We start from the raw sequence: 24,190 nt of genomic DNA, 5'->3' as shown, positions 1-24,190 counted from the left end.
TTGTCCATACTTTTTATGGCCTGCAGTTTGGCTGTAACACTGACACTCTCTTCAACATTTGTTGCCCTTCTCAGGTTGAGGGAGTAGCCCCTACCTTGTTCACAAGGCAAAGGAAAACTTCCAATTGCTGAACAACACAACGGCTCATAAATCTTCTGCTAGGGACTGGCATATGTCACTTCCAGCCACATTTCATAGACTAAGACAGGTTGTGAGGGCCTAGCCTAATATCTCCATGGGAAGGTATATTCCTTTCAGAGGGAGGCATGCAAGTCACATGGCAAAAGTGAATATGTGGGAACAATAATACAATCTACCTCAGTCTAGCTCATTCCATGAATCATGACATACCTTAGGTTGTTTTTCATAATGTCTCTTAGATATGCTTCCTCTTTCCACTTCTCTCAAGCCTAACGTTTATGCAGGACCTCACATAATCATTCTTTCCTTGGCAGTTCAGTGTGCTCCCCAAACTCAGGATCTCCCCACTCCAATTTATAATATGCACAACAAATAGCATTATCTTCTTCAGGTGATTACTTCATTTCTTTATCAGGAAACATTTAAGGCATTTACTTAAATGCCTTCCATCCCTGAGAGATACATGGGCATTATCCTCCTGACCAGTACCTAGACAATTGTCTGACTGTGGGCCACACATGGGGCAGCCTCATATATATTTCAACACACATGCACATCAAACACCATGTTTTTCAAATAACATTAATACGGTTTCATTCATCCATCCATCCACCCATCCATCCATCATCCATCCATCCAAGGGTGTTCTTTGAAGGTATGCATTTTAAGTGTCAGGGATATAATGGTGAACACAGATAAGGCCCTGACCTCATGAAGCTTGTAGCTAGCAGAAGAGAGAGACAGAAACCCCACAAACAAATGTAAACAAATGTAAAAGAAACCCCACAAACAAATGTAAACTGCAACTTTGAAAAGGTGATACCTTATAGCCAAGCCTATATTGAGGAAGTTTGATTTAGTCCCAGAGATCAGGGCAGGCTTCCCTGAGAACTGAGATGTGAGCTGAGAAGGGAAAGATACACAGAAATTAATCAGGCAAAGGAGGGAGGGAAGAATGTCTCGGGAATGGAGAGCAGCTATGTGCATGGAATAATCCCGGTAAGAGTGTGGACTGAAAGGAGGCCATGAGATGGAGATGATGCAGCAGGGGCAGCCAAGGGAAGGACTATGCCTGGCAGGGCCCATGGGCCTCATTTCAGAGTTTTGCATTCCTAGGCATACTAGGGTGACAGACTAGAGTTGTAGTTTGCACAAACACCTCTGTGCATGGAGAAGAGATGTGGAGGAGTGAAGTGGGGTAGATGTGTGAGGCTATTCAGGAAGCAATGGCAGGAGCCCAGGTGAGATATAGCTGCAGCTGGAACAGGAGTAGTGATGGGGTGGAGGGGAATTGAGGAGAGATTTAGAAAATAAGACCTACTAAGCTTGGTGATGGAATGGATATGTCAGGCAAGGGAGAGGAAAGTGACAAGAATGACCTTGAAGTTCCCAGCTTATTCTACTGGACCCTGAAAGGGGACCTTATTTGAGAGCAGGGAAGAGAGGGACCATGAGTTTCAGATGTCTGTAAGACATCCAAGAAGCACATGCCAGCTTCCCCTCCTGTGCTGTCTCAGGTAAAGGCATCACTGCCCAGCACATTGCAAGACTGAAATCTTATACTTAGTGCCCACCCCGTCTGTCCAACCGGTCACCACATGCTCTTCTGCCTTTGACAAGTAGCTCAGCTCCCTTCCTCATGCTCCATTCTCCTGATTTGCTATCTTATCTAGGGGACCTAAACAAAATACAATTGTTGCAGCCTTAGAGACACCAGACATTTGGCTGGAGCAAGGTTCTTTCTGAGACAAACTTTCATTTTCAGATCATGACAAGATCCAGAGGTTCCTGAATTAGTCAGGGCAAGAGTAGGAGCAATCAGGCCCCTGGCCATGGCTGTGACCAACCCCTGGTATCTCAACATCTTAAAAGCCAGCACAGGCCAGGCACGGTGGCTCACGCTTGTAATCTCAGCACTTTGGTTAGGCTGAGGCAGGCGGATCACAAGGTCAGGAGATTGAGCTCATCCTGGCCAACATGGTGAAACCCTGTCTCTACTAAAAATACAAAAATTGGCTGGGAGTGGTGGTGCGTGCCTGTAGTCCCAGCTACTCAGGAGGCTGAGGCAGGAGAATCGCTTGAATCCGGGAGGTGGAGGCAGCAGTGAGCCGAGATCACGCCATTGCACTCCAGCCTGGACAACAGAGCGAGATGCTGTCTAAAAAAAAAAAAAAAAGCCAGCATGGCCCTCCTTGTGTGCCCCTGAATGGAAAGAACAGAGCTGTCCATAAAGAGATGGGGAGTTCAGATTGTGACTTTGAAAAGTTACTTCTCTGAGCATTAATTTTCTTAACTGTGAAAAGGGAATTATAACCCTTCTCTTTAAGGGTTGTCGTCATAGCTTAAAGAACATAGATTGAGCAACTGCCACATATTAGGAGGTCAATACATGGGAAGAACCATTCCAATAAGCTGGACTTTGACAAGGGTTGCCCTCTGTCTTCATTTTTGTAGTTTTCCAGGACATGAATTGGGTCTTCTCTTTCTTCTGCACTTCTTTGAGTGTTCTGTCAAACATCTGGCACATGCTGACACCCAGTAAAGTTTGTTGAATGAATGAATGCAGAGTTTATCTACACTTTGTGTTTTTTTTTTTTTTTGCAACTTGATGAAAAAGATTTCTGCTATGAAAGCCCCAAAGCATATAAGATGAAAAATGATGAAAGAATCATAATCTAAACAGCACCTGTTACTGCTTTTGAATTCTGTATTACTAATATAAAAACCGGCACCTGGAATAAATGTTTTAAAATTAGTTTTAAGGACATCTTTTAATCAAGAGCTTATTCATGGAGGGAATTTTATTGTTTCCATAACTTTCTTTAACTTGATATTTCATTTCCTAATAAATTCATACTTTGCTTTCTTTTGCTAAAGTCTCTCCTCCATCCCCTGAGCTCACGAGTTAGTCACACTAGGCATTTTTAAAGCATTTTCTGCAATCTTGCAATAACCAACTCTTATATTTATTCATGTTTATTCATGTTTTAAATCTCACCCCTCTAACATCTTAAGTAGTATAAAAACAAAAATATCAACAAGTCAAAGGCACCAAGATAATACAAAGAGACATATTAGAAAAAATATTCTGACTATGCAGCCATAAAAAAGAATGAGAGCATGTCTTTTGCAGGAACACAGATGGAGCTGGAGGCCATTATCCCTAGCAAAGTAACACAGGAACAGAAAACCAAATACCGCATGTTCTCACTCTAAGTGGGAGCTAAATGATGAGAACTCATGGACACTTAGAAGGGAACAACACACTGGGGCCTATTGGAAGGTGGATGATGGGAGGAGAGAGAGTATCAGGAAAAATAACTAATGGGTACTAGGCTTAGTACTTGGGTGACAAAATACTCTGTACAACAAACCCCTGTGACACAAGTTTACCTACATAACAAACCTGCATGTGTAGCCCTGAACTTAAAATAAAAGTTAAAAAAATTATTGGGACTAAATTGATCAAACTTTATTCATCCACAGGGGTTTTCCACAAAATAGCATAAAGAAACAACTCAACATTTATTATTATTATTATTATGGTGTCTTTTCAAATCACTCCAGGGCACCACAGACACTTTCCAAAAATATTTACAACATCAGGGCTATCAGATTACCCATTTTTCATGGTTGTAGAGTTGAAAAGGACATGGGAAAAAGAATATCCTCCTTCTGAGCCTGCTTCATGTCCTCAGACTGTGCTTTTAGTGCCAACCTATAAAAATGATCTTGTATCTCCGTGAGTGGGCACCACAGTAAATCCAGGGCTGACTGACAGCAGGCCCCTCCCTCCACAGAAATAAGCCAGTCTCCCTCCAGCATCAGGACCCCCAAACCTGTGCAGGGAATGTTCAAACTCAGGGCTATCACACAGCTCTTGGCCTTGCAGCCCAATCTGCTCCCACTTGCAAATCCAAACACACCCTTTACTTTACTTTTTGAAAGCTTTACTTTCATATTTTATTTTAATTCACTAGACATTTTTTGTTGTTGTTTAGAAGAGTGAAAACTACAGAAAGAAAAATTCCCAAGGTGGCATCCACGTTGAGTCCTTCCCCGGCATCTCAGCAGCAAGTTAGCATTCTATGGGTTTTCCTAGCTAGCACTCCACCGCCATGGCCCAAAGCTGAGCTAAACAGAAGCTAACGCTAAATGCCTTCAATACTTTTTGAAAAATCCATCAAAGGTTTTGCTGAATGATATTTATAAGGGCCTTACTGTTCTCTTTCACAGACTGAAATGCCCTTCTCCGACACTTGAAAAAAGTTGCTCATGCTTTTCATCTTTCCCTCTCAGAGTGTAAACATTGTTTTGAGTGAAAAGAGCTGAAGGAGCGCTTACTTTCCCTTGAAATTTTATTTTTAAATAAGAGAGGGAGAAAATCCTTTTTCTGACTAATACTAATAATACAGGTCAAAGTGTCAGGCGATATACAATTAAATGGAAAACAAAAAAGGTTCCCCCTCTTTTTCCCACAGTACAATGGTGCTGGAATATAAATTACCGATGAAGATGAAATAATACTTCAAAGCCTATAGGGCAGGGCAGCTCGGTGTTTACAAAGTATTTTCTATGGCACGATGAGACATTAAAGATGATGGTAACCCATGGACTTGAGGGTGTTGCTGAATAGACTGAAACTAGCATGAGGTAGGATTTTAGGTCGCCGTAGCCTGTGACCCCGTGATATGCTTTGTTTTACAAGGGCAGCTGCAGTTATCAACAGATGTTTCAGCAATAAATAATTGGTATCATCTCGGAAAAGACCCATCTACCTAGGGAGAGGGCATAATACCAAAAACACTGCCCAGCTATTACAGCCACATTAATCTCCCATCTCTTCAGGTTTCTTGGGGAGCGTACTGCAGGTGTTTTTTCTGGGAGAGCGCGGACAAACTCTCTCAAGTCAGCAAGCTTTGTGTGGAGTGTAAAGGAGGTTGGCCCCTGCCATAAATTTCTGTCTGTGGCCACACACCAAAGGAAAAGGGATTGGAGAGTCAGGGAGGAGGGGAGGAGAGCAGTGGGGAGGGAGGAAATGGGAACACAGTGGAGACCAGAAAGCAAAACACAAAACATGTATCATTTTTCTTGGTTAAGTTCAGCCCAAGAGAATAACATTATAAATGACTCTTAATTTTACCAACTCATGAACTGTGGAAAACAGTTGTTTGTGACTTGCCTTTTTCTTAAGCATTCTGTTCTCAACTTCGATCTGTTATTTGTGGAATTAAAGACACAGTGTTTATGCTCTGAGTACAATGCTTATTTGAAAAACAGAGGGGAAACATTTTATGGGAAGGATTCATTTCAAGGTAAAAAAATCACAGAAAGTTTATATTTATGAATAAACTATAAAAAGAGAGAAAACATGAAAAGACAAACTCAGTAATCTTTAAATATTTTTTACATGAGAATGGAATTTCACAATTAATCAGTTATTAAAATATGACCATCCAGCTCTGACAAACTCTAATATTGAAATCGACCAGATTGGGATACAATGAAACAAAAACAAATCATGGAATTTATTCAAACTATTTTTAATAATCTAAGATATTAAAAATAGATTTTAGGAGTGCCTGACTTACAGGGTGCTATGGTTCTCCATATTTACAAAACAGAGTGGTTTAGCAATTGTGCACTTGGGGTCTGGCACAATAGGAGAACATCCTAAAAGTCATTAGGAGGTGCGGTTGCTTAATTTATAGCTTGCTGGGCAAGCTAAAGAAAATGATGCTCAGAGTTCAAAAAGCTGCCAGATTAAATACATTAGAGACTAAAGAAGGCCTAATAGACAGCGCCCCTTAGAGCTGCTACTGAGTGACCTTGTGAGCTGGGCTCAAACTTCTTAAATTCTCTATGCTTCTATTTCTCCAATTGTGAAATTTGTGTAGTATAGAGAGGCATAGCGGGAGGTATCATAAGTGGGCTCTTAAAATAGTCTACTCCAACTATGAGCAGCTTCTCTCCCAACTCACATTAAACCCCCAGTGCAGCGGGACTGATGTTTTTAATGATGTTTAAAACATCGTTTTCAGTTTTTAAGCTAATGTCACTACCAGCTTTGAATGCAGGGCTCAGGGGATCTGGTGATTGCAGGATGGAACAAGGGGAGTAAACCCCAGTTATAGTGATGTGCCACATCACTCAGCCTATGTTCAAAAGTCAGAGAAACCTGCTAAGCCCAAAAGTCAAAGCTGAGTCACTCCCTCTTGTGAGGCCGTTTTGCTCTCGCCTTCCTTGGAAGGTTTGTAAAGTTCTTTTATGCCACTAGGCTAATTCCACAAGGGATCTCCAAGCAAGTAAAGTGACCATCAGCTTTTGCAGAAGGGCTCCAGTCTAAGCAACAGTTCCCAGAATTGATGGAAAAGAGATTTTTTTTTATTGGATTGGTCTCCTACAGCCTTCTCACTGGATTCTCCTTACTCCTTACCTTGACCCTCTCCACTATATCCCCATTCAGTCTCTCTGCCCTTCCCCCTTGCTTGCCACTCTACTCTTTCCTGCAAACAGTGGCTCTCAAACTTTAGCATCAGAATCATCTGGAGGGCTTCTCTAATGCTGATTGCTGGACTCCCACCCCCAGGGTGTTTGATTCAGTAAGGGTTTTTGATTTGCACCCAAGAATTTGAATTTCTGACCAGATTTCAGATGATGCTAATCTATTGTTGGGAGGTCTCACATTTATAGCCACTGCTTTAGAGCTGCACTGTCCAATAAAATGGCAGCCCTGGCCACATGTGACTATTTACATAGAAATGAATAAAAAATAGCTAAAATAAAAATTCAGTTCTTCGGTCCCATTCACCACATTTCAAGTGCTTGAGAGCCATCTGTAGCTAGTGGCTACCATATTGAACACAGCTGTAGAACATTTCCATCATCAATACAAAAAGTGTTACTGGATGGCCTACAGCTTACTTTAGATACAATAAGTAAACCTCATGGCTTCTACCTGTTTTTTCAAGCTCTTCACTTGGTGCTTCCTGATGGAGAATTGGAGTTGGATGAAGGAGAAGGCTGTAAGTCACAATTTCACCACTTACTGGTCTGTTCTTCCCCTGAGCAAATTAATCTCTTCGCACCTTAATTTCCTTGTTCAAAAGAGGGATGATAATGGTAATACAGGAGAACCCCAACTTAACAATTGTTCAACTTATGATTTTTTTACTTTACAATGGTGTGAAAGCAATATACATTTAGTAGACTACAACCATTCTGTTTTTCGCTTGCAGCACAGTATTCACTAAATTACACAAAATATTCAATACCTTATTACAAAATAGGCATTATATTAGATGATTTTGCCCAACTGTACACTAATGTAAGGGTTCTGAGCTTGCTTAAGGTAGGCTAAGCTAAGCTATGATGTTTAGTAGGTTGGGTGTAGTAAATGCATTTTTAATGTATAATATTTTTGACCTATTATATTTCCAACTTATGATGGATTTACTGGGGGCAACTCCTTTGTAAGTCAAAGAGCATCTGAATCACTCTGTAAAGTGTTACAAGCACTTTGTAAACTCTATAGTGATAGTTAAGTTATAGTTATTATTTTATTCTACTTTTCCACTAATACTGACCACATTTATTTAAAACCCTGGCTCACCATTGTGTTCTCCTTAAGCATTCACTTTCCTTTGCTTGCAATCCCCAGTCTGCTTAACCTGTTTTGTTTGTTTTTTAGGAGGATGAGAGAGCTGGGGTTTTACTGTTTCTATTAAGTCTCTAAAGATGCTCTTGTGTGTCTATAGATCAGGGGGTCTTTCTTAGATTTTTGCTTGAATGGGCAAAGACAATGTCTATATATTTATTTTGGGATGACTCAAAAATACAATCTTACGTAAAGCAATAAAGTAAAAATTTTAGGATATTGTCATGCTTTAATGCCTAACAAATATATTTTTTATTTGAGAAAATATATATATATATATAAATTAGCAAGCTTTCTTCCTTGACAATCTTCCGAGAGAATGTGGGTAAAAAGCAACGCTATCAAAAAGGAAAACGGTTCTCCCTATGTTATCCCCAGAATCAAAGCCTGAATCCTGAGCTGCAATCTGAGTTCCTGTGCTACTCCCCAGGCTCTCTTCTATCTGGCATAGAAGTACCAGTTCAATTAATTTCCAATAAATGAGTTGAGAAATAAGCATGTCAATGACTTTGACTTGATGCTTCCTGAACAGCCTTAATCTTGAGGATATAAGAAAGTCAACAGGACCCTAGGTGGGGCTCAGGGAAGGAATATGCCAGACTTCAGTAGCTTAGACAGCAAGTCACACTGATGAAACAAGGGTGCATTTACTTTTTTAAGCTACCTAACTTTTAGAAAGTAGCATTTCAAAATTAAAATGCTGTGAGGAATGGTGAAATCAAATCTGCTTCTTTGGCCCACCAAGGATATGTAAATATTTCAAGATGACAGGGTTCATGTTAGACTCACTGACCACTCTTCACTTTTACTGGATTTGGCTTTACAACACAAGATCTTATGGGCAAGTAATGTTTTTCAAACAGCTATTTCCCTCACATTAGTCAATCTGGCAGAGCTGAGCATAAGGGTAGGGGGCTGTCTTGTGCTTCAAAGAAATTTAATCTATTAGACCACTTAGAGTCTAAATGCCTCACTTGGGGATATCAGAGGAACAGGTGGTGTGGCTCTTCCTACCAGTAACTGCTGCAACCCGGCGCCAATCACATCCTTCAGGTTTGTTTTGTCCTCTGGGCCCACGGCTTGTTTGTACTGCCACTTTTCAGGCACGAAGGGCCACTTCATTTCCTTTGCCTCCTGGATCAGGGTCCTTAACTCGCTGGGGAGTAAAGCTGAAAAGGTCAGAGTTCAGGTAAGGAAATTGCAGTCAAAGAAAAGGCTGTTGAGCTACCAATGTTATGATGAAGCACCTCAGTGGCAAAAAAAAAAAAAAAAAAAAAGAGAAAAACCTTTTCCCTGCCTCTTGCTGGCTGGTCTAAGCTGTTGGTTCTGACTCAAAGAATAACAGTGAGGAGCTATCTGTCAGGGGTGGCCCTGGCCGACTTTGCCCTACAGGTAAATTGGGGTAGTCAGGCATTAAGAAAGGTTTTTAGCAGGAAGTAAAGCACTTTAGTGACTATCTCTGCATGAAGAATCAGAGAAAGGAATGAAGGAAATATTATTTTCCCTGTAAAATGAGAAAGGGACTGAAATGGAATGGCATTCTGGGCTTGTGGCAGGTGGATGATGCAGTGTTAATTTGTACAACCTCTTTTTGCTTCTCTAAGACTTCACTTTCTCATCCCTTCGATATGGACTACATTTGAATACAGAAAATAACTACGAAAAACACATATCAGATTTGAAATGGTGTAAATTAATTGTGAAATGGCCCTGTTTCACATTAGTAGATGTATTAAATCTCTTAATGGGTACCAAGTCTACTTATAATGGTCTATAATCTCCTATACAAACTTTGGAAACACAAGCAGCTTTAGCAACTGGAAATTTTTCTTAAGTTTGGCACCCGAAACAGAATTGAATTAACTAGAGGCTATTTATAGTCCTGGTTAAGGACTCAGTGAGATTGCTCAAATGTTTTGCTGCAAAATTTTTTGTGTTTGACTGCACTCCACCTGCTACTGAAGCATGAATGTGATGTACAGTACATGCACCAGAAGACCCTCCTAACACTAGAAAAATTCTGAATTCTGAAGTACACATGTGATGCCAGGGTTCTGAATAAAGGATTATATATATATGGACCCGTACATATGACTGCCATATAAATAAAGGACCTGTATATATGACTGCCAGCTATAAATCTCTAGGTACTTGTCTTGCAAGCCTCTCATGCTCAACATCCAAAACTGAACTCATCACTTTTTTCTAAATCTGTTTTCCCTTATAAATCTCTACTTTAATGACTGGCACCACCATTTACTAAGTTCCCCGAATCTGAAACCCAGGAGTCAGTCTAGACTTTGTGTTCTCTCTTCTTCCCCAAACCTAATTGGTTGTCAAATCCTGTGGCTCCTAAAATCCATTTTCTCCTCTTCCTTGGCAGTAATTCTTGCCTGAATTATTGTCTGAATCTTGCTCCGTCCAGTCCCTCTTGCACATTGTCAAGCCTCGTTTTTCTAAAAACAAGATGGACCAGTCCATTGCCCTGAATAAAAATCTTCAGTGGTTTGGCAAATCCCGTTCCGGCTCTTTGGATTGACTTCCCCCAGTGCCTTGTGACCAAATTCAGGCCCACTGGCTTCAGCACTCAATGCAAACATTGCCACTTCTCCTCAATCCACCGTGACCTCACAGTGGAATTGAGCGCCTGCTCTGAGCACTTCCAAACCCAAGGGAGCAGGCTCTTTTCAGCCATCATCCCACTGCTCTGTAACTATTTCTGTCTCTCACTGGACTGCTATCTCCCTGAAGACAAGCATCATGTCTCATCATTTTTATAAGTCACATCATGATGGGTGAAAGACCAGTATGATTAAAAGACAAGGTTCATCTTCTAGCTGGCCCTTTGAAAATATTTTTATATCATCTATAAAAAAGACATGGTTCATCTAGTATCTATGTGAAACATGTTAAATACAGCAAAAGAGATATGACAGAAAGAACAAAAGAAAAAAGGAGAGAGAAAATCTAACTTGGTCTGTGATCCCTTTTTATGAGCCATTTAGAACCATTTATGAACTGGGCAAATGGAAGGAAGTTTTCTGGTGGGGAAGGACTGTTTGGCATTGAGGGGATATCACATGGGCTATGCCAATGAATGATTCACACTGATTACCGAGGATGGCTTACAGGTATCACACTGAAATTATCACCCCCTATCTCCATTGAGCAGTCCAGGACTACTGAGCATCTACTGTGTGACTGATAGTGCTCCCCCTTGAAAGCAGACCCACAGGATTAGGGACTTAGGTGGCCACATTCTGCTGGAAAACCTGACCCTCTTACAGCCACTGACATAATTTCAACTTCTGAAACTGTTTTCAATATAGCTGTAGAGAACATTTCTTCAAGAGCATTTCTAAACAGTCACAGACAGGATGACCCCTTAGACCTGTTTGCTTAGGACCATCCTGTGTGGTCCTAGGGTCCTTATTAACAGTGCTCCTTTTCACTCTCAGAAGAAGTGTCCCAGTTTAGCTAATAAATTCTTTAAATTATTTGAACACTGAGTCAATGTGAGCAGTCACATGGCAAAGGAAATGTGATTTCTGGGTTCATAGAATTTTATCACACTTTGGAGTGAATAGTGTTCATATTTTCAAATTTCTTCATGGTAATGGAAAAGTCTGTTCTTTACAACTAACTCATTTTTGCCTCCTTCACATCACCCTTTCCCCACACCTCACGTCAGAATGTCCTGTGAGGCACTCTGAAATAAAATATGCCTCTTAACTATGTTTTTAAAATGTATCTCTGGATTTCAGTTCCTTCTTCATCTCTGGAGAAGTTGCTGGGGTAGTCACCCATGCTAACAAGGACAGTTTCTGAGGGAAAATCATGGCGTCGAGAGGAGGAAGGAGAAGAAAAACCTCAGTGTTTGTGTTGCAGGGTCTGCTGGCTCGCCCCGCTGCCATAAGTGACCCTGTACTAATGCCTTTCTCTGGGAGCACATGCGGTGACGACATCGGTGGCGGCACGACCCGCCTGCTCGAGCCGCTCCGCAGCCACCTGCCGAGGGAAGGGATCCGGTGCAGGCTGCACTCCATCCGCACGGTGGGCTCGGGTGGGACACGCAGCGCCGCCCTTGGGCTGGGGCTGATGCTACGGCTGCCAATGGCTCCGCTTAGGAGGCGTCCTTCCCCGTCGGTTTATTGGATTCAACCAACGCCGGGCAGTCAGCCCCAGACCCAGCAGTAACCTCCTCTGCCTCTCTGATCACTTGCTTCCCCAAGCAGCTTACCTGAAGGGCCATGTCTAATTTAGTGATTTTACAGCCGTGATTTGCCTTATCTGGAACTAAACTGATTACTTCTTCTATTCTGTGGCACTCGTGAAGAAAAAGAAAAGAAAATGCTACCCAATTGGGAGCTCAGAGTCTTCATCAGGGAGAACACAAAGCTTAAAGGAATTTGGCTGAGGAGACAAAGGGTGTGGTGTAGTAAAAGGGAGAGAAAAACTTCAGTGGAAACAACAGAACACAACACACCGCCCCTGGGGAGAACTAGGGCCAGCCATAGAGCATATTCTATAGGTGCCAAGTACCTGCCATTCCCTGACAAAGGCTGACATCTGTGAGAGTGATCTCAGGCTGACAGGCACATGGAGCCAGGAAGCAAAGTCACACATTGGTGTATCACAGAAACTGAGGCTGTGAAATGACTGGACGTAGGGGATTTTTATCTTGAAAGGAGGACAAATGACAGGTTACAAATAATTAAGACTTCCATAGTGCCCTTGTAAAAATATATGTGCCTATGTACAAGAACTCAGGAGAAAAGACTCTCCCAGAACATTTTCCCATTACATAATGAACAACAGCAAAAAATGAGGAGTATGCATTTTATTTGGGAATCTTGTTTCTGTGAGGAATAGCAAAGTGCTAAAAATACTGAGAAAAATATTAAAAGCATGTACAAAGGACAGTACTTATGGAAGTGGAGGAAAATTTATTCAAATGCTAAAAAGAAATCTAAAAAAAAAACCCAGAAGATTGCCTCTCAAAAATTGGTTAAAGAAGACATAAGAATTGCTTTAACTTTCTAGACTTTGTGATGGAAACTTCCCAAACAATGACTTATCTGATACTCTGAATGGCACAAAGAACAAAATGAGCAAAAAGCCAAATTCTTAAAACCTGATAATGATGCAATCAGTATTTATCGAGATGAGAGAATTTATTTTACAAATGGTGTGAGAATATAGCATGAAGAATGTATTGGTGATCAAAATAGTGAGATTGGACTGGTGAGATGACGTATTTATGGAAACCCTAGAAGTCTATGGAAACCGATGAGGCAAAAAATCCTAGTTTGAAAAAAAGTATGTGCCACCATTCAGAAATTGCTTCAATTTTTTAATAATTGAAATTTACGTGCACCAGCCAACTTGGATCCTTTGTTCTTCTTGAACTAAACTGTTTCTTGTAGCCTCATGTTTACTGAAGCCTAAAATTAGAACTGACAGCAATTCAGTGCAACAAAGTGGGCTTCCTCCCCTGCCCGTCCGCCCGCAGCCCATGTCCCATTCATGCCCTAGAAATCCACTCATCTCTCGGTGGTCATCTGCCAAGAGAAGAAAAATAGGGCAGAGATAAGAACGTGTCGTTCAGGCAGGGGACAGGAGAGTGAACCTGCTGGTTCACCCCTGGTGCCTCCCATCAGAACCTCACCTCTGCAGCGCTGGTCCTCGCTCTTGTCCTCTTCCGACACATCTGGCGCTTCCAACAAGAGCTGATCCAGCACTTGCTTGCACTCTTGCAGTAGCACAGCTACCACTTTTTGATTATTCATGATGATTACGATGAATTGGGTGTCCCTGGGTCTAGGGTGATCAATTACCTAGGAGAAGACATTGATTCTCAATAAAGGAGCCCCTTGAAGGCCGAAGTACCTGGTGAACAAAAGAGAGGGAAAGATGATTAACTGAAGCATCATCAATTATCTGTGAGACTCAAGCAGGGAGGGATAATAGGGCAAACAGAGGAAAATACATGACAGCCCCCGAGGACTTTATTAGAGGAGTGTGTGAAATTACTGCAGGGCCTGGCTAGATGGGCAGCACCTCCGAAGGCCTCAGAGTGCAGAAGCGAGAGGGGCCTGGTACAGACCCCAGTTATCTATCCACAGTGACGTCAGTGGAGTTACATGGGCCAAATGAAATGAATATACTGCATGATTTATCTTCTGCGTACTTCACATCAGTGCCTCTGGAGCTCAGTGGCACCACACTCTCTGCTCTCTAGAAGTCCACAGGAAGCATCTGGCTAGCAGTTCTAATATTAGACACTAGTACACGGTAATAACCCACTGCTGATTTCCCCTGTGCAGTATTCTTCATAATATTTAGCATGATATAATTTGGACCAAGATAGGCAATGACAAATGCCAAATTTAAAGCTCTTCACTGCCAGGAACATTACCAAGTAAAATAGAGAACTGATATCCTAGAAAACCCAATTTCCCAAATCCATCAAACGGATGGATCTGTCATATGGATCTACTTATATTGTCATTTAACGTATATACAATTGAGAGATTTCTTATGCAAATATTAGTGTGATTAATGAGCTACTGCCGTCAAGGTAATTTCAAGAATGAAATAACTTACTAACAGCGCAAAAAAAAATGCCTGACAAATTCATAGAAAAACATTATTCAATTAACAAATCTTTTTGTCTATCTTTCTTTTGTTAAAGTATTATATTGTAAATGAAAGACAGGAAGTTAGACATTGCCAGAATAGATAGTGGAGCTGCTGTCAGGTTTAGACACTCCTGGAGGGCATGTAGAATTTTATTACCAAAAGCAAGAGAGTCTGAAAGGGAAGAAAGTAACAGATATATGGATGGCTCTAGTTATTCTGTCTCTGAGCTTATGCATGCAATGAAGTAACCATTGAAAATATTAAAGCAGTGAATTATTGTGTTGGTGTTGGGATTAAATGTGCTCTACTAGCCAATGGTTTCTTAACTAACTTTAAGAAGTTGGTTTTGAATTTGAAATAGCAAGAAAGCCTTTTTCCCTCTCTCATTTTCTATTCTGTGACTTAGCAGGAGCAGAAAATGAAAGCTGAGCTAACTGTGTAATCTAAATTTTGTGTTTTTCATACTAACTTGGCAGGTATACTTCGTATCTCCATATACTTTGTGTTTAAACACACACACACACACATTACACACATACATTACAGAGCTAGAACTGCCAAGGCAAAGCTTGGGGTTATTACAGGCTTGTTTCATTTAAAATACTAATGTATTTGTTGATGAAGAACACAAGCAGAGTGCTCAAATACAAAATTTGTGTTACTTGAAAGGGCATTCACTTAAGTGAGATACTGAGGAATTAGTCACTAAGAGCAAGTCTAACCGTCGGTGTCTCTGTGCCACTTTTTGGTAATTCTTGGAATGTTTCAAATTTTTCATTATTATTATATCTGTTATGGTGATCTGAGATCAGTGATCTTTGGTGTTATTATTGTAATTATTTTGGGGCACCACAAACTGTCTGGGAGCCAGCAAAGTTAATCCATAAATATTGTGTGTCTTCTGACTGCTCCACTGACCAGTCATTTCTTACTATCTTTTCCTCTCCTCAGGCTTCCCTATTCCCTGAGACACAAAAATATTAAAATTAGGTCACTTAATAACCCTACAGCAGCCTCTATGTGTTCAAGTGAAAGGAAGAGTCACACATCTCACACTTTAAGTCAACAGCTAGTAATGTTAAGCTGAGAGAGAAAGGCATGTTGAAAGTCAAGATAGGCCAAAAGATAGGCCTCTTGTGACAAACAGCCAAGTTGTGAATGCAAAAAAAAAAAAAAATTTCTTGAAGAAAAGGAAAAGTGCTACTCCAGAGAACACACAGGTGGTAAGAAAGTGAAACAGCCTTATTGCTGATATGGAGAAAATTTTAATGGATAGAGAATTAAACCAGCCACAACACTCCCTTAAGCCAAACCCTCATCTAGAGTAAGGCCCCATCTGTCTTCAACTCTATGAAGACTGAGAGAGGTGAGGAAGCTGCAGAAGAAAAGTTGGAAGCTAGAAGAGGTTAGTTCAAGAGTTTTAAGGAAAGAAGCCATCTCCATAACATAAAAGTGCAAGATGAAGCAGCAAGGGCTGATGTAGAAGCTGCAGCAAATTATATAGAAAAGCTAGTTAAGATAATTAATGCCCAGCCTGGGCAACAGAGGGAGACCCCATCTCTACAAAAAATAAAAAAATTAGCTGGGTGTGGTGGTGCACACCTGTGGTCCTAGTTACTCAGGAGGCTGAGGTAGGAGGATTGCTTGAGCCCAGGAGATTGAGGCTGGAGTGAGCTGTGACTGCACCTCTACACTCCGGCTGAGTGACATAGCAAGTCTCTGTCTCAAAAAAAAAAAAAAAAAAGAAAAACATCACTGACAAAGGTGGCTACACTAAACAACAGATTTTCAGTGGTGACAAAACAGCCTTGTAGTGGAAGAAGATACCGTCTAGGACTTTCATATCTAGAGGGGAGGAGTCAATGCCTGGCTTCAAAGCTCCAAAGGACAGGGTGACTCTCTTGTTAGAGGTTAATGCAGCTGGTGGCTTTACTTTGAAGCCAGTATTCATTTACTGTTCTGAAAACCCTAAGACCCTTAAGAATTATACTAAATCTACTCTGCCTGTGCTCTATAAGTGGCACAACTAAGCCTGGTAACAGGATATCTGTTCACAACATGGTTTACTGAATATTTTAAGTGCCCTGTTGAGACCTACCTCCCAGAAAAAAAGGTTTCCTTCAAAATATTACTGCTCATTGACAGTGTACCTGGTCACTCAAGAGCTCTGATTGAGATGTACAAGATTAATGTTGTTCTTATGCCTGCTGATATAACATTCATTCTACAGCCCATGGGTCAAGAAGTAATTTCAACTTTTAAGTCTTAGAAGAAATTCATTTCATAAGGCTATAGCTTATAGTGATCACAGCTTATATCTTTTATAGTAATTTCTTTGATGGATCTGGGCAAAGCAAATTCTTCTAATGGACCTTCTGAAAAGGAATCACCATTCTAGATACCATTAAGAACATTCGTGATTCATGGGAGAGGGGCAAAATATCCACATTAACAGGAACTGAGGAGAAACCGAGTGTAACCCTCATAGATAACTTTGGGGTGTTCAAGACTTCAGTGGTGGAAGTAGCTGCAGATGTGGTGGAAATAGCAAGAGAACTAGAATTAGAAAAGCCTAAGATATGACTGAATTGCTGCAATCTCATGATAAAACTTGAATGAATGGGACGTTGCTCCTTATAGATGGGCAAGGAAGGTGGTTTCTTGAGATGAAATCTACTCCTGGTAAAGATGCTGTGAACATTGTTGAAATGGCAACAAACCATGTAGAATATTATGTAAACTTAGTTGGTAAAGCAGCAGCGGGATTTAAGAGGACCGACTGCAATTTTGAAAGAAGTTCTACCATGGGTGAATGCTATCAGACAGCATCACATGCCACAGAAAAATCTTTAGGAAAAGGATGACTCAATCCATGTAGCAAACTTCATTGTTGTCTTAATTTAAGAAATTGCCACAGCCACTCCAGCCTTCAGCAACGATCACTCTGATCAGTCAGCAACCATCAACATTGAAGCAAGACCCTCTACCAGCAGAAAGATTAGGACTTGCTGAAGGCTCAGATAATCATTAGCATTTTTTAGCAATAAAGCATTTCTTAATTAAGGTGGGTACTTTTTTAGACATAGTATGATTGTACACTTACTAGACTATAGTATGGTGTAAACATAACTTTCATTAATATTATGCACTGGGAAACAAAAACATTCATGTAACTCACCTTTTTTTAATTTTAATTTTTTTTAAGAGATGGGTCTCACTATGTTGTCCAAACCAGACTCAAACTCCTAGGCTCAAGTGATCCTCCCACCTCAACCTCCCAAGTAGGATTACAGGTACGCACCACTGCACCCGGCTTTGTGTGACTCACTTTATTGTGATACTTGCTTCTGTGCAGACGGTTGGAACTGAATCCACAATATCTTTGAGGTACACTTGCACAAATTTAATCTCTTTTCTGTTTGGGATACTTCAAAAAGGTATTTCTGCATGGATTGGGTGTTGAACTAAAAGGTTTCCAATGTCCCTTTTAACTCAAATGTCTATAAGTCACAACGTTTTATGCCACAAGCTGGCTATTAGCCTGCCTACCTAGGAAAAGAACTGAGCAGTAAAGGCTGCTCAGAATTTTATCCTCATACTGCTATTGCAAAGAGTACAGGAGCATATGTTCATTCCTTCTGAGTACCGCAGTGAGCTGATAAAAGAGCTAATTAGTGGGCTACAGTGAACAAGAGGCCCTGAAGCAATGAAGAAATGATATCTCATTCCCATCATTCCTTGACAGAGGGAGACATTGGCTAAAATGGGAGGTTAGCATTGAGATTAAAATATACATTTGGTGGTTTAGAAGATTAAGAACAAACTTTGCTTGGCGTGAGCTGCAGATAAGTTGGAGACTCATTTTTCTTCAAGTCCAAAATTAAAGCAAGAAGGGAGTTCTGTTTCCTAGCATTCTTTTGTAGAACTACATCGAGAAAGAGAGGTGTAATAAAGAAATAGGAAGAGCTCGTGCACAAAGAAATAAAACCACAATATCATATAATTTTAGTAGCACATCATCCTTTTGTCTAAAGGCTTATGTTTTCTTAGTGCTGTATCATTCCCTTAAGGTAGAAAGTGGTCTTTTGTTGAACTCATAGAAGCAGAGAGTAGGGTTGTGGTTACCAGAGACTGCAGGATGGGGGGAATTAGGGAGGGTGTTGGTCAAAGGATACAAAATTTCAGTTAGACAGGAGGAAAAAGTTCAAGAGATCTATGGGATGTCACGGTGATGATAGTTAAAAACAATATATTATATACCTGCAAATTGCTAAGAGAGTAGATTTTAAGTGTTCTCACCACAAATAATGGTATGTGAGATAATGTTAATTAGTTTGATTTAACCATTCTATAATGTATGACCATAAAGATATATAATTTAATCTGTCAATTAAAATAAAATTAAAAAAGAAAGTAGGCCAGGCGTGGTGGCTCACGCCTGTAATCCCAGCACTTTGGGAGGCCAATGCAGGTGGACCATGAAGTCAGGAGATTGAGACCATCCTGGCTACGGAGAAACCCGGTCTTTACTAAAAATACAAAAAATTAGCCGGGTGTGGTGGCTGGCGCCTGTAGTCACAGCTATTGGGAGGCTGAGGCAGGAGAATGGCATGAACCTGGGAGGTGGAGCCTGCAGTGAACCAAGATCACGCCACTGCACTCCAGCCTGAGCGACAGAGCAAGACTCCATCTCAAAAGAAAAAAAAAAAAAAAGGAAGAAAGTAGTTTTCTTTATATTGACAAATTGAAGTAAATTTTAATTACTCAGTTACTGTAAACGACTTAAGTAGAAACAGCATATAGTAATGAAAAGAGGACCCAGAAATAGGAAACGAATGCACACAAGAGTGTTCAACAGATATTTGTTGATTAATTCCACTTTATACTCTATCATTAACTATTTGTAAGACTTCTGAGATTCACTTTTGAGATTGACTTTTCTCATCTGTATTTTTGAAGGAATTGGTTGGAACAATTGTTAAGATGCTTCTAGCTCTTAAATTACATACTCAGCAGCAGTCTAAATAGACCATGTTGTTTATTGCCAAATAATATTTGATATTTGTTTATTAAGAAATTCCCTAGCTCTTTTGAGAACCCTTACATATCGTTTTTATGTATGTATATTTTTGTGTGGTTAGAAATATTGGCTTGAATTTTAGAAGTCGATTACTAAATATACTTATTTGCTTTGGTTTCCTCACTTGCAACACCAATTCCTGATGCACAAGATCATAAATCTCTTCCTTTTGTCTAAGTGATGTGAAAGAGAGATAGGGCATGCAGTTGTATGAAGGCAAACAACAGGACTTGACCTAATCACTTGAGTAAAGCTAGGGCAGATCAAGGGAGGCTTCTTTGAGAATGTGATGCCTGAATTAAGCTTTGAAAGAGTGATAAGGCTTAATGAAGTTAAAATGGTGGGGAATGGCTGTTATGTAGAAGGAACTAGAGAGGGAATGAAAGACAGAGAGGTTGGCTGAACTAGCGATAAAAGGAGAAAGTTGATATGAGGTGGGACTGGAGAGGTAAATACGGGCTGTGCAGGCCTATGTGTGCCTGGTAAAAAATTGTATCTTCACCTTAAGAGTGCTAGGAAACTACTGGTAGCAGGAGGACCAGGGTCAGATGTGCATTTGGAAAAAATCACTCTGTTTTAGCTGTAGTGCGTACGTTAGGGTGGGGGTTTGCCGGGAGGTAACTGCAGGAAGATCAGTTAGGTATAATTGCAAAAATTCACGTGGAAAGTATCAGGACTTTCGACCAGAGCGATAGTATTAGAGATGTAGAAAACTGGACAGAATTGAGAGCTGTCTGGGGAATAAATGCAATATTGGTATTGGATAGATATGAATGTTATTAAGAATGAGTATCAGTTTCTCCTTCACCATAGCTCAAAACTGAGTGGACAATGTTACCATGTTTTGAGACAAGAAGCGTAGAAGAGATCTTCCAGGAAAAGACATAAATGCATCTATTCTGTATTTCTACATATAAAAGTAAGTTAGATAAATCATATCATCCACAATAAGAAACCATATTTTAGCCAAGACAACATTTCTAAAAAGAAGAAGAGATTTCCAAGGTAATTCATGTTTAGTACTTGCAATTCCCCAGAAATGTACTGAAGACATTCTTCATACTTTTTGAAAGTCACAGCATTTTCCCTTTTCTCTGTAGAATTCAGAGGAGACAATAGGAAGAAAATACTGTAACATGAGAAACGCTTTGGAATCCAACCATCTGTCCAGACTTGTATGGCTCATTGTTAGGCATAACAGAGGCTGGAGCCCAGGAACTTTCCTTCAGGCAACAGTCCTGCTGGAAATTTTGGTCAACTTCATTTATAAAGGAATCATTTTCAATCTCAACACATATCAGTTTTTCCTCCCCTGAACTGTGGCATTCTGTGAGCTGTATATTGTTTTTACATTTAAACAATGGGAATTCCCCAGTATGTTTGGTAATCAATGAATTACTTTTTCTCTTTTAACATCCCTCCCCTGTATTTTTTTTTTCCTTAAAAATCAAATAGAAAGGGTCCAGGAAAAGCAATCAGACCATAAAAACAGATAATTCTGGAATAAATACCCAAAAAAGTTAGAGTGATACACTTTAAGGCACATGTGCACACTCACAGCTAAGGGGTCATGTGTTTATACATGCTGTATGTGATTTTGATATACAAATTCTTCAGTTCTATTGGTAACTTAGAATTTAGTTGAGTGGCTTAGTTATGGGATAATTGACAAATCAGCTATTATAAAAAGTAACCAAACCAGTGGATTATTCAAAGCTCCATTTCTTTTAGCATCTGTGTTTGAGTCTTTTTCACTGGACAATTAGTACCCCTATTAGGGAATATGTCAAGGAAAATAAAATGACTCCAGAGATATTCCATTGTCTACTGGTTGCCACTGCTATTATAACCCACTAGCCAACTAGTCAGAATCCCCAAGCTAGAAGATGTGGAGAAAGGTAAAGAAATATGAGCGATGATCTTTACTGTCAAGGAATTTACAATATAATTAGAAGGATAAGATGCAAATATACTAAAAGGTAAACTAGATAAATATACAGGGCATATAATACACAATTGTACTCTGCAAGCTCAATTTAAATTATCTATGTTGGAATTCAATTAACCCTTGGTTAGATTCATAAGCAAGCCCACAGAGCCTATTTAATTCATATGTACATGAATAATTATTATAAAACAAATTTTCTTTTCTTTTTCTTTTTGAGACCGAGTATCACTCTGTCACCCAGGCTGGAGTGGAGTGGTGCAATCTCGGCTCACTGCAACCCTCTGCCTCCTGGGTTCAAGCGATTCTTGTGCCTCAGCCTCTGAGTAGCTGGGATTACAGGCATGCACCACCATGCCCAGCTAATCTAAAACGTCTTTTTAATCTACACTCATTTCTCATATTGTTTCTATAGGAAAAGGTATTCTGGTCTCTAATGTACAACAAGAATACATTTCTCTAATCAGGCACCAAGCAATGACAATCCAGCTGTTCCCACCATTTCACTCTTCTCTGAGCACCCATAGACATAAACTATCACCATATTGCCTCTTGCACTGATTGGCAGTAGAAGTGGGGAAACAAATGGAGAAAGAGGCAGCTGACTGGAGAGTAAGGCAAGTGTGGGGCTCAGAAAGATATTATTGGGTAACAGGCATTTGTCAGCATTTTAAAACTGCATTAAAAGGGAGAAGGCAACTTCTAAGTCACCAAAAACATAAAAAAGTAGACTTCTATTTCTAGCATTGAGGAAGACTATCTAACACTCCCACTGAAAACAATAAAAAATGCTGCAAAAACATTTTAAATCTCTAAAATATGTCAATAAAATGTCAAGAGAGGAAGCAGTACTCAGAAAACAAAAAAAGAAGTAAAGGCTGAAACCTAAAAAGTTACCTGCAATATAGAAGCTAGCCGTTGCCTTGATTGTATTTGCCAAACTGTGAACTTAAAACTGGTTTCACTGTCTTGTAAGGTGAGAGGGGAGAAAATGAAACCAAAGGCCTTAACTGAGGTAGGAATTTAAGTGGAGACTGCACACCCCATGCATAAAACTGAGATCCTAAAAGGTCGCACCTTCAGTATAAGAGTGAGCTAAAAAATAAATCCTCATCCTCTCCCCTCACCTCCCAGGAAAATTGTCTGTGGCAAAACATGCTGCTTGATGGAGGGGAACAAAAATTTTTCCCTTGAGAATTTGAAGCCACAAAGTCCATAACACCTCTAGCTAATGATTAATTTAAAATAAATTATTCAAAATGATTAGGTTAGTAGTGTTCCCAGTCAACTGGTGTGACTAAATATAATCCTTTCTTTAAAAAATTAACCTCAATCCAAGCTTCAAAGAATTCCCACCCATAAAATACTAAGACGCATGAGCTCCTGATCAAATGTCACAAAATACATAAGGCAAAAAGAAATCATGAATGAAAGCAGAAACAACAGATACTAAAATCAGACCCACAAAGACTTTAGATAATGGAGTTAACAGATATAGACTATAAAATATATGTTTAATATGTTTAAGGAACTGAATTAATGTGTTGAAAATATTAATAAACAGCATAAGCTATAGAGAAAGCATAAGCAGATTAAGAATAAGAATTTCTAGAAATAAAAATATAAAAATTAAAAATTAAAAATTCAATGAATGCATAGATTCGATAAAAATATTCACTCTAGGTGGGGATCAGTGGCTCATGCCTGTAATCCCAGTACTTTGGGAGGTGGAGGTGGGTGGATCACTTGAGGTCAGGAGTTCGAGAGCAGCCTGGCCAACATGGCAAGACCCTGTCTCTACTAAAAATACAAAAATTAGCCAGGCGTGGTGGTGCGCGTGGTGGTGCAATGAATTATAGGTGGCCAGCTACTCAGGAGGCTGAGGCAGGAGAATCACTTAAACCTGGGAGCCAGAGGTTGGAGTGAGCCAACATCATGCCACTGCACTCCAGCCTGGGCAACAGAGTGAGACTCCGTCTCCAAAAGAAAAAAAAATAATTAGCTCTAGCTGAAGATAGAATTTTTGAACTGGATAATAAATCAGAATATATCACTTAGAATTCAACAGAAAAAAGGCAGAGAAATAGAATATATGAAGACAGGCTAAAAAACAGGAAATAATTTGTAGAAAAGGTCTAACATATGTCTAATCAGAGTCTTAGATGGGAAGAAGAGGGAGCAGCAGTAGAACCATTTGGAGAGATAATTGTGATTGCAAATTTTTTGAACAGGAGACAGAAATATAGTCATTTTCTGTATCCACGGGAGAATGGTTCTGGGACCCTCCTCAGATACCACTTTCAAAGAATGTTCAAGTCTCTTATATAAAATGGTGTAGTAGTTGCACATTTGCCCCTATATTTTAAATCATCTCTAGATTACTTATGATACCTAATGTAAATAGTTGTTATGCTGTATTTTTAATTTGTATTATTTTTTGATATTTTTTGTATTTTCATTTTTTACATAAAAAAAATCTTTTATCATAATTAAGCGTAAGACAGAAACTAGTAAAAAAATACAGATAAAAAGGAAAACTAAAATTCTCCTTGATCCCAACACTAGAAATAACCAGTTAATATTCTGATGTATAGTCTACTGTTCTTTTTTATAGGCATACACATGTTTTTCAAATTACAGTTGGGATCAACCGTGTATACACTGTTTCATAATCTACCTTTTATTTACTTATTTATTTTATTTCAATAGCATTTTGGGGAACAGG

The 24,190-nt window shown here is 39.8% G+C and overlaps 1 protein-coding gene across 3 annotated transcripts in view; it reads right to left on the bottom strand.

Annotated features, from left to right (window-relative positions):
- Positions 1 to 24,190, bottom strand: part of ALPK1 (alpha kinase 1) — a 145,253-nt gene that overhangs the window by 51,257 nt on the left and 69,806 nt on the right. Inside the window, exons 3-4 of one of the 3 annotated variants that reach the window (NM_025144.4) lie at positions 13,467 to 13,687; positions 8,813 to 8,967 (exon numbers count right to left, since the gene is read on the bottom strand). In NM_025144.4, the coding sequence (NP_079420.3) occupies positions 8,813 to 8,967; positions 13,467 to 13,587 (276 nt within the window). In that variant the 5' untranslated portion in view covers positions 13,588 to 13,687. The remainder of the gene's footprint in view (positions 1 to 8,812; positions 8,968 to 13,466; positions 13,688 to 24,190) is intronic. The other 2 variants (NM_001102406.2, NM_001253884.2) reach the window with 2 other exon arrangements.

Source organism: Homo sapiens, chromosome 4 (genome assembly GCF_000001405.40).
Source record: "Homo sapiens chromosome 4, GRCh38.p14 Primary Assembly".
Classification (NCBI taxonomy): domain Eukaryota; kingdom Metazoa; phylum Chordata; class Mammalia; order Primates; family Hominidae; genus Homo; species Homo sapiens.
Note: the sequence above shows the minus strand (reverse complement) of the source record. Positions and strands in the feature narration are given on the sequence as shown.